The 14,632-nt window shown below is 39.2% G+C and overlaps 1 protein-coding gene and 1 long non-coding RNA gene across 3 annotated transcripts in view; one reads left to right on the top strand and one right to left on the bottom strand.

Moving 5' to 3' along the window:
- Window positions 1-14,632, bottom strand: part of GALNT8 (polypeptide N-acetylgalactosaminyltransferase 8) — a 52,327-nt gene that overhangs the window by 30,566 nt on the left and 7,129 nt on the right. The window contains exon 3 of the mRNA NM_017417.2: window positions 2,832-2,998. Coding sequence (NP_059113.1) covers window positions 2,832-2,998 — 167 coding nt within the window. The remainder of the gene's footprint in view (window positions 1-2,831; window positions 2,999-14,632) is intronic.
- Window positions 3,005-8,565, top strand: LOC124902863 (uncharacterized). 2 transcript variants are annotated; one of them, XR_007063176.1, is made up of 2 exons: window positions 3,005-6,389; window positions 8,287-8,565. It is a non-coding gene; the product is annotated as an uncharacterized LOC124902863 (long non-coding RNA). The 2 variants fall into 2 exon arrangements; XR_007063175.1 differs by having other exon boundaries at window positions 3,005-7,525.

Raw genomic sequence — 14,632 nt, 5'->3', positions numbered from 1 at the left:
AGGCTCTCTCCTGAGGCCTTTACACGTATTATTTAATCCCAAAAGTGGTCCTATCAGGTAGGCACCATTATTCCCTGATGTTACAGATGCAGAAACTGAGGTGAGAAGTGGTTGAGTCACTTGCCCCCAAATTCACATGGATAGTGAGTTTCTCTTTCAGTAGACATGGTAGAGACTTCCATTTATTCTCCTGTTTAACATAAAACAGATATTTGAGTTATGCTCAGTGTAGGCTCAATTTGGCTGGTGTTTTCGTGGTTAATGACAGAGACTCTCTAATTCCTGTCCCTGTAACACCAAAGAATGGCTGACAGTCCCCTTTTCTGTGACCATCCAAACAAATCATCTCTGTGAAAAACAAACGTGGGTTTCAGACCTAAATGAGAGGAATGTGTTACAATGGAGTGCAGCTTAGAGCAATAAGAAAGCTTTGGTTTTTCTTTATGTGTCTACCCCGTGTTTGTAATCTTGTATTTTTTTATTGCATTGTTCCACAGGAAAAAATCCTGAATTAAGTCTTATCTACACCCCATGGAACATAGCGTATAGGCCATAGAGTATAGTATTGACTTTTTTTTTTTCCACAGAAAAAGATATCTTTCACAATATTCCAGCTCAACTCTTGTCTTTGCCTCATGAAGACCCTGAGTCCCAAAGAGGTGAGGGGACTTGCCTGACGTTGTCTCAGGCAGGGAGCAGAGCCAGAGTGTTTTCAGAAGTCCAAGGCAGAGGTCTTTCTAATCATGCTCCTATTTTTGGGGCAGAAAACCAGGTGTGCAATTCAGTACCAGTCTCCATGCCCAGAAATGAATGAAACTAGTCTCTTTTCTTTGGTTTTCAGCGGAATTTTGCTCTAAAAATTGTACCTTCTTATTTTTTGTTTAGTTACATTGGAAATAAAAAAAGAGGAAGGTATGCAAAGGATGAATATAAGTATTTTTAGTGTGGAAGTCTAAAAAAGAAGGTTTAAGCAGTCATTTTGTTTGCTCTCTCAGGAAGGTACAATAACCTATCTGGTACTTAAAGATCCTCAGAGAAGGAACATATTCTGCCTCCAATGAGCTGCCACTTCATAGCCCTTATAGTCAAGAAATTCTTCCTTACTGCTAGACCAAACCTCTAAGTTTTTGTAACTTAATTCTACTCTCTTTTATTTGTTGCACAAAATTAATAAAACTAAGAGCCAACAATTGCTGAGAGGCTACCATGTGCAAAATGCGTTACATAATTCATGTATTATAACGGGAACACAGTGGTTAGAACCAGGGCTCTGGACTCTGAAGTTCATGGTCAAATCTCAGTTCTGTCACTTACCAGCTGTAGGATGTTGAACAAGTTCCTTGATCAGTCTATGCCTTAGTTTTGCACATCTACACAATGGGTCAAAAAGTGATTCCTTCCTCATAGGGTTGTTGTAATGATTAAAATAGTTAACATGGCTGGGCACTGTGGCTCACACCTGTAATCCCAGCACTTTGAGAGGCCGAGGCAGGCAAACCATCTGAGATCAGGAGTTCAAGGCCAGCTTGGCCAACATGGTGAAACCCCATCTCTACTAAAAATACAAAAATCAGCTGGGTGTGGTGGCATACTCCTATAATCCCAGGTACTCAGGAGGCTGAGGCAGAAGAATTGCTTGAACCCGGGAGGTGGAGGCTGCAGTGCGCTGAGATCCCACCACTGCACTCCAGCCTGGATGATAAGACTGAAACTCCATCTCAAAAAAAAAAAAAAAAGTTAACACACGTAAGGTGCTTAGAACAAGCAATGTTAGCTGCCATTATGATCTCATTTAATTCTCACTATAGTTCATAAAATGGTTATTATTATCAACATCCATATTTTGTGTACAAGAAAATCAGAATATGAAGACGTTGAGTTACCCAAGGACCTAACACTTACAAAGGAGAAGCCGGGATTATGAACTCAGAAAGTGAGGACTCAGGTCTGTTATCTTCCACATCTCTTCCTTGGGTGGGCTAGACTCGGGGCACGGGCACCCTGTGGGCAAGAGCTGTTGCCACTATGAAGAGTCAGCACCCAAATCTCTCTTTTCTCCAGGCTTAATGACCCAGGGAGAGTGATCTGTTCCTCATAAGGAGCAACTCTAAGTCCCTTCCTGGTATCTGGAGTCCTTCTCTAGACTCTGCTTCAGCCCCCAGGCTTCTTCATGGTGCATAAGAGGGGCACAGGTGGCCGGGCACAGTGGCTCACGCCTGTAATCTCAGCACTTTCAGAGGCCGAGGCGGGCGGATCACGAGGTCAGGAGATCGAGACCATCATGGCTAACATGGTGAAATCTCGTCTCTACTAAAAAAATACAAAAAAATAAGCTGGGTGAGGTGGTAGGTGCCTGTAGTCCCAGCTACTCGGGAGGCTGAGGCAGGAGAATGGCGCGGACCCAGTAGGCAGAGCTTGCAGTGAGCCGAGATCCCACCACTGCACTCTAGCCTGAGTGACAGACCAAGACTCCATCTCAAAAAAAAAAAGAAAAAGAAAAAGAAAAAAAAAAAAAGAGGTACAGGTAGATTTGGAGGTACACGCTCCTGGCCTAACTCCCACCTCTGCCACTGGGTTGCAGCCCAATTTAAGCACACTGTGTGATCTCTTTGTGTCTCAGTTTCCTCATCCATGTAGAGATAATTATCCTCTGTCTTGACTTTGTGAAGATTAAATGTGGCTAGCACAAATAGACCCTTAACAAATGATCTTTTTATTTTCCCTACATGAGAAACCCAAGGTGTCCTAAACTCTAAGCCAAAACCTCTTTCCAGCCAAGCACAGATGATAAGTGGTCATTTTTACAATTATTCTTTGATCACGTTGCTCACCATTTGAGCTGAAATCATCCACCAAGATGATTTCCTTCAACAATCGAGAGGGCGTCCGGTTGATGATACTGGTGATGGCCCGTTGTATAATGGACAGAGCTTCATTCACGAATATGAGAATGACACTGAGGGATGGGAGTTGGGAAGGATATGTCTTCCGAAGACATCTATAAGAGACCATTTTTATAACATATTATTTTTTTTTAATTACTTCAACACTGCTATCCAATCTTTCCTTTCACTCTGTATGATGTTATATCGACCAATTCATCCACCCCTCAAACTCACTGGAAAGCAAAACTCTTAGTGGCTTATCACAGTAGCAAGATTTTATATTCATTTATCCAAAATTCTCCTGTTATGGGGATAAAATCTTTTTTTATTAATCTTTGCTAGATGTTTCCATTGGAACATTCAACATACTTCAAAAGGAATTCCCGTTCCTCTTCTACACCCGGATTAGTTTCCTTGCTGGCAGCCTTCTTCTTGTCATTGCCACAGCCCTTTTCCCATGTTCTCAGACCCCAGTCACCTTTGACACACCCTCTACTTCACCACCAGAGACAGGTGGCAAACTAGCCTATATTTACTAAATGCTTACCATATGGTAGGCACTGGTTTACCCTTTTTATAGCTTTTTTGGGGTTTAGTTGATATATACAAACTGCACATAGGCACGCACCCACAATATCATAATCAAGGTAATAAACGTATCTATCAGCTCCAAAAGTTTTTTCTATATGTTTGCCCATTTTTAATTTCTTTATTATTGAGTTTTGTAAGCATTCTTTATATATTCTAGACTTCTTATCAGATGTATGGTTTGCAAATATTTTCTCCCACTCCATGGGCAGTCTTTGCACTTTCTGGATGGTATTATTTCAGGAAAAACAAAGTTAGTTTTGATAAAGTTCAACTTTTCAATCTTGTTTCACCTATGCTTTTGGTGTCATACCTAAGAAACTCTTGCCAACCCCTATCTCCCAAGATTTGCTGTCATTTTTTTCTAAGAGTTTTATAGTTTTATCTCTTATATTTACATCTATGACCATTTTGTGTAAATATTTGTGTATGGTGTGATGAGGGATCCAACTTTATTATTTTGCATCTAGATATCCACTTGTCTCAGCACCCATTTGTTGAAGAGACTATTCTCTCTCCCATTACATGGTCTTAGCACCCTTGTCAAGAATCAGTTGATCATAAATTTAAGTGTAAATATTTTCCCCCATGTAAAAGGATAGAGGGAGCTAAAGTTGGGTATTTTCATTCCACCATGTAGAAAGCTAAAGCAGGCTAGAGTTGAATGTTCCCCTTCTCCCAGGTAGGTTAGTGTCAGTCCATTTTGTGCAGCTATAACAGTATACCTGAGACTGGGTAACTTATAATGAATAGAAACTTATTGGCTCCTGGTTCTGGAGGCTAGTAAGTCTAATGTCAAGGTGCTGGCCTCTGGTGAGGGGCTTCATGCTGCATTATAACATGGCAGAAGGTATCACACAGCAGAATGAACAAAGAGAGGATGAAAAGAACAAGAGCCCAGTCCCATGATAACAAACCCCCTCTCATGATAATGACGTGCTAAGAGCATTTGCCTATTCACCAGAGCAGAGCCTTCACGACCTAAACACCTCTTCAGGGTCCCACCTCCCCATACTGTCGCAATGGCAAATACATTTTAACATGAGTTTCAGAGAAGACAAACATTCAAACCACAGCAGTTAGGCTATCACAAAACTCCAGCAGGTTAGGCTCTGGTAAAATAGTTTCTCTTTCAGGCAGACCTTGTTAAGAAAAACAGAATAATCTGGCATATTTCAAAATGATTCCTTTTCACCTCTTCTCTCCTCCCTCCCAGAGGCAGGAGGAGATTTTTCTCTGATATTTACTGTGAGGATCTGGTAGAGGTCCTGGGGGTAAAATGTACACAGGTGTAGAAGCTCTCTGACTGGGTCTTCCTGGAGTGTTTAATTCTCAGACTTGTCCACAATTCACCAATTTACAGTTCAGGTTTTCCTATCCTAGCACTGGTTCCCAGGGTTTCTGCTCTGGTAAAGTTGTGATTCTCTGTATCCACCTGTCTGTCTCTCCAATTTTGGGGGAAGCAGTTTGCCCTGCCATGTCACTTCTCTAAAAGAGCTGAGAAGAGTTTATTTTTCCATTTTTTCAGCTTTTTACTTGTTGTTAGGATACAGTGGGGACTTCTAAGCTCCTTAAAAGCCAGACCAGAAAATGAAAGTCGAACTCTTCATTTTTATTATTGTACTTTTTAGTTTTAGAAGGATCATTTGGAACCTCTTTATAATGTATAAGTCTTTATTGATAGTTTCTATTTGATGAGACATTGTCATTATAACCTTCCTTTAATGCTTTAGACATGGCTAACTTTAGTGCTTTGAATATATTTATAATGATGTCTTTGAAGTCATTACCAGATAAGTCCAATATCTGGGCCCCTTCTAAAGTCTGTTGCTTTGTTTTCTCTTGTGCACGAGTTATTACCCTTTCCTGTATCTTTGTATGTCTCATAATTTCTTATTAAAAACTTATCATTTTAGACAAAGCATCTAGTAACTCTGTATATAACCCAGGAGTAGATGTCATTGTAATTTGCTTCGTTGTTTATTTATTCAATTGGTAACCTAGTTAAACTAATTTGCAGAGTCTACAAAATCTATTTCTCCTGCAGTGTTCAGCCTTTAATGCTCATGATCTTGATCTTTTTTTTTTTTTTCTTTTCTCTTCTTGTTTTTCTCTTTTAGCCTGGCTACCCAGGGGTTGCTTCTGGGTCATCATAAGCCACTTATTCATCAGAGATTGGATTTAAACCTCCTTGGTTGATTAGATTCCTTGATATATGTGGCATGGAGGCTGCAATCACAATTCAGGGAGTTTACGTTTTGACCCACATACTGGTAGCTTGGATTTTCTTCTCTGTGGTAACTCCTGAGAGAGCACAGCCTTAGGTATGCACATAGTCTTCCAGATTACCAGGGATGTGCATGATTTTATTTTTAATCCTGGCTTCCTAGTAGTTGCCTCTGAGTCAGAGTAGTTTATTGTTCAAGCAGTATTTGTTCAGAGGTTGGCCCTAAGCCCCTAGTGCTGGTGGGGCTTCAGCTGTTTGCTGATGGATCTGTGTTCTGGTTGGCAAATGATTTTCAGTCTTCCTGTTCCTGAGCAGGTTCAGCCTGGGGCTTGCACACAAACTTCTAGATGACCCAGAGATAAGTGTGATCCAAGGAGGGCTCTTCTTGGCAATCTTTTTCCCTGATTCTTCCTGTTAAATTTCTGGTTGTTCTGCCATTTTGCTTGTTGCTACTAGTATTATGGAGCTATGAGCATACTCTTTAATTTTCTCCACCAAGATCTCTGTTGTTTCAGACAACATCATTGAGCTGGAATTCTTTATCCTCTCTTCTAAATAAGGTCAGTCCCTTAAATACAGCTGGGGAGGTTTTCATCCTGCCTTTCCTCCGAACAGAACTTCTGCACCACTGCACAGAAGCTGGAGGTGGAGACAGAAGCCCACTTCTAGAATGACACCCTGCTCTACAGGTAGACGTGGGCTGGGGGGAAGGAGGTGGCAGCCCCCTGGAGCTCCTGGTCTTCCTAGCTTGTGCATTCTGGTATGGAACTTCCACTCTGACAGCAAGTTGGAGAAGGGGCAACTGGAGCCCCGTGTTCTTGGGACTCATGCACCTGGAGTTGAAATTTCACCCTATGAGTAGAGGCAAAGTAGAAGAAGGGAGTCACAATTGTCTCTCTCAATCACCTCCACTAGGCATAGAGCTTTTGCATTCCTAGTGGAGGAAGGAGAAGGTGTGAAATGTGGGTGGCCTGCCCTTCCTGGGGTGATACCAAGGACCTATGTATGCTAGGACCTGCAGGGACAGGGAGCCCACTTCTTGACCACAGCCACCAGAGCAGATAACCTTGAGAAGTTTCCATAAGACAGTGCTGACGGTGGGTAGGGGGAACAAGTCACGGCTCCAATGCCACAGACTCCTGCTGTTCTGAAGGATATTTAGTAGATTTTCTTGAAAGAATGTTTTTCCATTTGCATATTTCCTTAGGACAGTTTGTAAAAAAAAATTTAAATAATTATAATTTTCTCCAGTCAAATAGTTGTTTTGCTAGGGAAAGAAAATGTTGCACTCAACACTTTGCCATTCTGGAAGGAAGCCTCAATCCACACATTTTTTAAAAACTTCAAGTAGTTGCCAACATACAAATCCAGATTTCTTGTCTCTCTGACAAAGCAAATATTTATCTCACTGCAACCACTTTTCCAGCAGATAGCCCCTGCTCTGTCCAGGGCCAGGGTTGCTGCAGTTACTCACAGCGTAGCTCACTGTTCACCCGTTCACCATCGCCCTCACCCAAAATGCTCACAACATGTATGTTGGCAGGCATTTGAATTGCACCCTCTGAAACTGCAAGGGAATTTTAGGCAAAAGCCAAAATGCAGGTGAATGCCAGGGACACAAAAAAGCACACACTCCTTGGAGAACTGCCCTGCTTAGTAGTAGTGCCAAGAGATATGAGGACGGACAGACCAGAGGGGCTGGACATTGGAAGCTAGGAAGACTGGACTTCATCCTAGAGGGACTAAAGGGTTTTAAGCAAAGGATTGGTATGACCAAATTAACATTTTAAAGAAACCATTCAGGCTGCCATGAGGACAACAGAAGGTAATCAGCCACATGTGGACGCCATAATACAGGTGGGAGGGTGTGAAGACCTCACCTAAGGCCAACCCTGGAGAAAGAAAGAAGCGAAAGGAAGATACTTTCAATCTGATTTCCTCATCTCATTCATTATTCAAATGTGGTGGGCAGGTGGAAGTTGAAGGGGCAATACTAGACCACAAAAAAATTCTCAGATTCTAGCAATACCCGCACACAAATCACTTGGGGATCTTGTTAAAGTGCAGCCTCTCATCAGTAGGTCTGAGCGGGGTCTGAGATCCTGAATTTCTTCCAGGCTCCCAAGTGATACCAATGCTGTAAGAGGGTGGTACAGTAAGAGTAGGAGCAGAGTCTCCAGAAAGACCTGTGTTCACTCGAGTCACAGCTGTCACTTTCTATCTGCATGATCTTTTTGTGCTTCTCTTCCTTTCCTTATTTATAAGACGGTGAGGGTGGTGGTTAGTAGCAGTAGTATTGGTAGTAATAGTAGGAGGAGAAGGAGTAATCCTCACATCATAGTATTATTATGAGGTTCAAATGTGGTAATGTGCATAAGGGCTCAGAGTAAAAGAAGCTCCATAAAGGTTATCTGCTATTCTTACCACTTTGCTGGTTATTTTTGTTCTTGTTGTCATTATTACGTAGACAATGGCAACATTCACTGAGCTAGGAGCAATAAGAGGAGAAAAAGAAGTGGATCAGCTTAGGTTTGGCCATGTGGAGTCTGAGATGCCTCTGAGTCACCCCATGGAATTCCCTGGTAGGTCACTACATATATGGCCCTGGAGCCTCAGAAGAACAGTCTGGATTACAGTCCTGTGGATTCGGGAGTCACTGCCATGTAAGTGGCGAATTCGTAAGTGGATAAAATCACCTTAACTACCAGCAGAAACGAGCCTTGGACTAAAGCCTGAGGATGATGAATATTTAAAGCACAGGCAGAGGAGCCTGGCAGAGATGAACTTTAAATTCTTTAAAGCCTAGTGGCAGTTCTTAATGTCTGGTACGGGATGGTTATACAATAAATCTGTATTTAATTGTGAGTAAGAATAGGTGATTATGTTAAATGGAAGACTGATTAAAATTCTGCTGAACTTCTCTTTCCTCTAATCCACATAATCACATCAGTGACTTCAGATTTTCTCTCCTCTGCCCTGTTTCCTGTGCATCTTTTGCATATTCTTGGCTATATTTGAAATGCTTTCACGACACTTCTCTTATCCGTACCCACATTTTCTTACCCACCGTATATCAATCAAAAGAGGTAGGAAATGTGCCTCCCGTGGTTCCAAAAGAATAATCTCTCCCTCCTCCCTGCATCACCAGTACCTGGCCTGGAATGTGTAGACCAGCACTGTCCAGTAGAATTTTCTGCAATGACGAAATGTTTTATATCTATCCTATACATAACGATAGCTACTAGCCACATGTGCCTATCAAGCACTTATAATACGGCTAATGTAACCAAAACCTAAATGCTTAATTGAATTTTAATTAATTTACATTTAAGTAGCCATATGTGACTAGTAGCTATCATATTGAACATTGCAGCAGAAGATACTGAAAAAGTATTTGTTGGTTGGATGACATCTAGAGGAACAGATCTCTAGCCACTCCTCCCAGCAGAGAATCACAGTGTACCACCTCAAGCAAATAATTTTAATTAATTTACATTTAAGTAGCCATGTGTGACTAGTAGCTATCATACTGAACGGTGCAGCAGAAGATACTGAAAAAGTGTTTGTTGGTTGGATGACATCTAGAGGAACAGATCTCTAGCCACTCCTCCCAGCAGAGAATCACAGTGTACCACCTCAAGCAAATAATTTTAATTAATTTACATTTAAGTAGCCATGTGTGACTAGTAGCTATCATACTGAACGGTGCAGCAGAAGATACTGAAAAAGTGTTTGTTGGTTGGATGACATCTAGAGGAACAGATCTCTAGCCACTCCTCCCAGCAGAGAATCACAGTGTACCACCTCAAGCAAATAATTTTAATTAATTTACATTTAAGTAGCCATGTGTGACTAGTAGCTATCATATTGAACAGTGCAGCAGAAGATACTGAAAAAGTGTTTGTTGGTTGGATGACATCTAGAGGAACAGATCTCTAGCCACTCCTCCCGGCAGAGAATCACAGTGTACCACCTCAAGCAAATAATTTTAATTAATTTACATTTAAGTAGCCATGTGTGACTAGTAGCTATCATATTGAACAGTGCAGCAGAAGATACTGAAAAAGTGTTTGTTGGTTGGATGACATCTAGAGGAACAGATCTCTAGCCACTCCTCCCGGTGGAGAATCACAGTGTACCATCTCAAGCAATGGGAGAGAACAATGGCTTAAGGACATAAGGTAAGTTCTATGTGCTACAGCTGGAAAGATAAACTTTATTCATATCACAATTTTGCCTGAAACTACTGTCGTGTGGAACACATAAACTAATTTGTATACATGCAAACAGGCTTTAACCAATCACAAAATATGTATTCTTACATTGGGATTTTCTAAGGCAAATTATGCCAGCCACATAATTTCCCTTAGAAAATCCCAATGTGAGAATATATATTACATTGGGAGGGCCAGCTTTATGGTATGCAACCTGTGCAGTCACACAGGACCCCACACATAGGTCTCCCCTATTGATTTCATTCATTACTTTTATCATCCTGAAATTCTTAATTATTTTTTAATGAAGGTCCCTCATTTTCATTTTGCACTGGGCTCTGCAAATTGTGCAGGTGGTCCTGTTCACAGCAGGACTAATTAGCCTGGCCAACATGGCATGATGAAGTGAGATTTATTTCAGGGATGCGATGCAAAGATAGTCCAACATACACAAATCTCTATATGTAATAAACCACATTAACAGAATGAAGGACAAAAACTATATGATCATCTCAATAGATGCGAAAAATCACTTAACAAAAACTCAACATTTTTTCATGATAAAAAATCTCAACTAATTAGGTATAGAAGAATTGTACCTTCAATACAATAAAGGTCATATGACAAACCCACAGCTAACATCATACTCAATGAGGAAAAATTGAGAGCTTTTCCTCTAAGGTCAGGAACAAGACAAGAATGCTCGCTCTCACATTTGTATTCAACATGCTTCTAGAAGTCCTAGCGAGAGCAATCAGGCAAGAGAAAGAAATAAAAGGCATCAAAATTGGGAAAGAAGTGTAGATTGTCCCTGTTTGCAGATGACATGATCTATATATATAAAGCCCTAAAGAACCCACTACAAATGGTTAAAACTAATAAACAAATTCAGTAAAGTTGCAAAATCAACATACAAAAATCAGTAGCCTTACTATACACTGACAGCAAACTGTCGAAAAAGGAAATCAAGCAATTCTATATATGATAGCTATACAAACACTTAATACTTATGAATACATTTAACCAAGGAGGTGAAAGATATCTACATAGAAAACTTTAAAATACTGGTGAATGAAATTAAAGAAACACAAATAAATGAAAAATCATCTCAGGCCGGGGGCGGTGGCTCACGCTTGTAATCCCAGCACTTTGGGAGGCCGAGGCAGGCAGATCACAAGGTCAGGAGATAGAGACCATGGTGAAACCCCGTCTCTACTAAAAATACAAAAAATTAGCTGGGCGTGGTGGTGGGCGCCTGTAGTCCCAGCTACTCGGAGAGGCTGAGGCAGGAGAATGGCATGAACCCAGGAGGTGGAGCTTGCAGTGAGCCGAGATTGCTGGGCGACAGAGAGAGACTCCGTCTCAAAAAAAAAAAAAAAAGAAAAGAAAAATCATCTCAGGTTCAGGGGTTGGAAGAATTAATACTGTTAAAATGTTCATGCCTCCCATAGTGATCTACAGATTGAATTCAATCCCTAACAAAATTCTAAAGACCTTTTTTTACAGATAGAAAAAACAACTCTAAAAGTTCTAAATGGAACCATAAATTATCCTGAATAGCCAAAGCAATCTTTAGCCAAAAGAAGAAAGCTGGAGACATTACACTACATGACTTCAAAATATACTATATTAAGCTATGGTAATCAAAACAGCATGATACTGCCATAAAAACAGACATAGAGTAGTGGAACAGAATATAGAACACAGATATAAATCCACACATTTATAAGCAACTGATTTTCAACAAAGATGTCAAGAAAACGCAATGGAAAGAGGACTGCCTCTTCAATAAATGGTTTTGGGAAAACGGAATACCCACGTTTAAAAAGAGTAATACTGAACCCTATCTCACACCATATACAAAATCAACTGAAACTAGATTAAAGACTTAAATATAAAACCCAGAACTGTAAAACTCCTATAAAGAAAATAGAGAAAATTTTCCAGGACATTGGTTTGGGCAATGACTTTTTGGATAAGACCCCAAAGCCACAGGCAACAAAAACAAAAATAGACAAATAGCATTACATCAAACTAAAAATCTTCTACACAGCAAGGAAAAAAATCAAAAGAATGAAGAGACAACCTACAGAATGAGAGGAAATATTTGCAAACCATATATTTAATAAGAAGTTAATATCCAAAATATATAAGGAACAGAAACAACTCAATAACGAGAAAAATAAAAATCAGCAAATGACCTAAGCAAACATTTCTCAAAAGAAGACTATAAATGGCCAAGAGCTTTATGAAAAAAATGTTCCATATATTAACCATCAGGGAAAATGCAAATTAAACTCACATTGCACTATCATCTCACCCTTGTTAGAATGGCTACTATCAAAAAATAAAAGATAACAAGTATTGACGATAATGTGGAAAAAATAGAACCATTGCACAGTTAGTGGGAATGTAAATTAGTACACCCAATAAAGAAAACAGTATAGAGATTCCTCAAATACTAAAAATGGAACTACTGTATGATCTAGCAATCCTATACTGGGTATATCTCCACAGGAAATGAATTAGTATATTGAAGAGAGACTGCACTCCCATTTTCATTGGAGCATTATTCATAATAGTGGAATACTATTCCATAATAGATGGAATACTATTCAGCCACAAAAAAAGAAGGAAATTCTGTCTTTTGTGACAACATGGATAAATGTGGAGTACATTATGTTAAGTAAAATAAGCAAGGAACAGAAATACAAATACTACATGATCTCACTTACAGGTGGAATCTGAAAAAGTTGAATTCACAGAAAGAGAGTAGAATGAAAGGTGGTTACCAGGAGCCAGGGTGGGGGCTGGGCGAAGAGGGGTTAGAGAGATGTTGGTTAAAGGATACAAATTTCAGTTAGATAGGAGGAATAAGTTCAAGAGTTGTATTGTACGACATGGTGACTATTGTCAATAGCAATATGTGGTATTCTTGAAAATTGCTAAGAGACTAGATGTTAAGTATTCTCACTGAAAATAATTGTGAGGTAATGCATATGTTAATTTAGATATATATTAGCCATTCCACGATGTGTATACATTTCAAAACATCATATTGTACATGATAAGATATACAATTTTGCCAATTTAAATAAAATATTTTTAAAAACAGTCACATTTCCAATAGCATCAAAAAGACAAATACCTAGGAATAAATTTAACAAAAGACATAAACAAACTTATACTGTGAAAACTCAAAACATTGTTGAAAGAAATTAAAGACCTAAATAAATGGAAAGATTTCTCACAGCCGTGGATTGGAAGATCTAATTTTTAAATGAAGTCCTCCACAAATCTACAGATCTGCAGAGCTACAGAGTTAATGAAATCCCTGTCAAAATCCTGCTGGTTTCTTTGCAGAAATTGACAAACTAATCCTAAAACTCATATGGAAATTCAAGGTCCCAGAATAGACAAAACAGTCTTGAGAAAGAAGAAGAAAGTTGGAAGATTCACATTTTCAATTTCAAAATGTACTACAAAATTACAATTGTTAAGACAATGTGTTCCTGGCATAAGGATAGGCCTATACAGCAACGAAAGAGGATTGATATCCAGAAATAAACCCTTACATTTATCACCAATTGATTTCAATAAGGGTGGCAGGACAATCTGATGTGGAAAGAGTAGTCTATTCAACCAAGGTAGTAGGATAACTGAATAGCTACACATAAAATAATGAAGTTGGACCCTCCTTGTCACATTATGTACAAAAACTAAAATGGACCAAACACCTAAATTTAAGACTGAAACTATAAAATTCTTAGAAGAAAACATGGGTGTAAACCTTTGCGACCTTGTACCAAGCAAGGTCTCTTAGATATAACACCAAAAGTACAAGCAACCCAGGAGAAAATAGATAAATTGGACATCATTAAGATTTAAAACTCTTGTGTTTCAAAGACGACCATCAAGAAAGTGAACAGACAATCTACACAATGAAAGAAATCATTAACAAGTGATATTTCTGATAGGAATTTGTATCTAGGATATATAAAGTACTCTGCAACTCAATAATAAAAAAAAAAATAAGCCAATTTTTTTTTAAAAGAACGTCTCCAAATAGACATTTCTCCAAAGAAGACATACATATGGCCAATAGCACATGAAAAGATGTCCCACACTATTAGGCCTCAGGGAAATTTAAAACAAAATCACAATGAGATACCACTTCAGACCCACTAGGATGGCTATAGTTAAAAAGAAAAATAATAACAAATGTTAGTGAGTATGTGGAAAAATCAGAACTCTCATATACTGCTTGAGGGAATGTTAAATGATGGAGTCACTTTGGAAAACCACCTGGCAGTTCTTTGAAAGGCTAAATACAGAATTATCATATGGCCCAGCAATTCTACCCATCGGGTACACCTACAAGAAAAGAAGACATTTGTTCACACAAAAACTTATACATGAATGTTCACAGCAGTATTATTCATAATGGTCAAAAAGTGGGAACAATCCAAATGTTCATCACCTGATGAATGGATAAAGGAAATGCGGTAGGTATAATCCAGACAATGAAATATTATTTAACAATAAAAAGGAACGAAGTATTGATATGTGTTATAATGTGAATGATACTTGAAAACACTGTGATAAGTGAAAAATGTTAGTCACAAAAGACCCCATATTACCTGATTCAATTAATACAAAAGGTCCGGAACAGACAAATCCATAGGGATAAAAAGTAGATTAGTGGTGGTTGCCTATGG

The sequence above is a fragment of the Homo sapiens genome, chromosome 12 (genome assembly GCF_000001405.40).
Source record: "Homo sapiens chromosome 12, GRCh38.p14 Primary Assembly".
NCBI classification, from domain to species: Eukaryota; Metazoa; Chordata; class Mammalia; order Primates; family Hominidae; genus Homo; species Homo sapiens.
The sequence above is the reverse complement of the archived record's forward strand: the minus strand, read 5'-3'. Positions and strand labels throughout refer to the sequence as shown.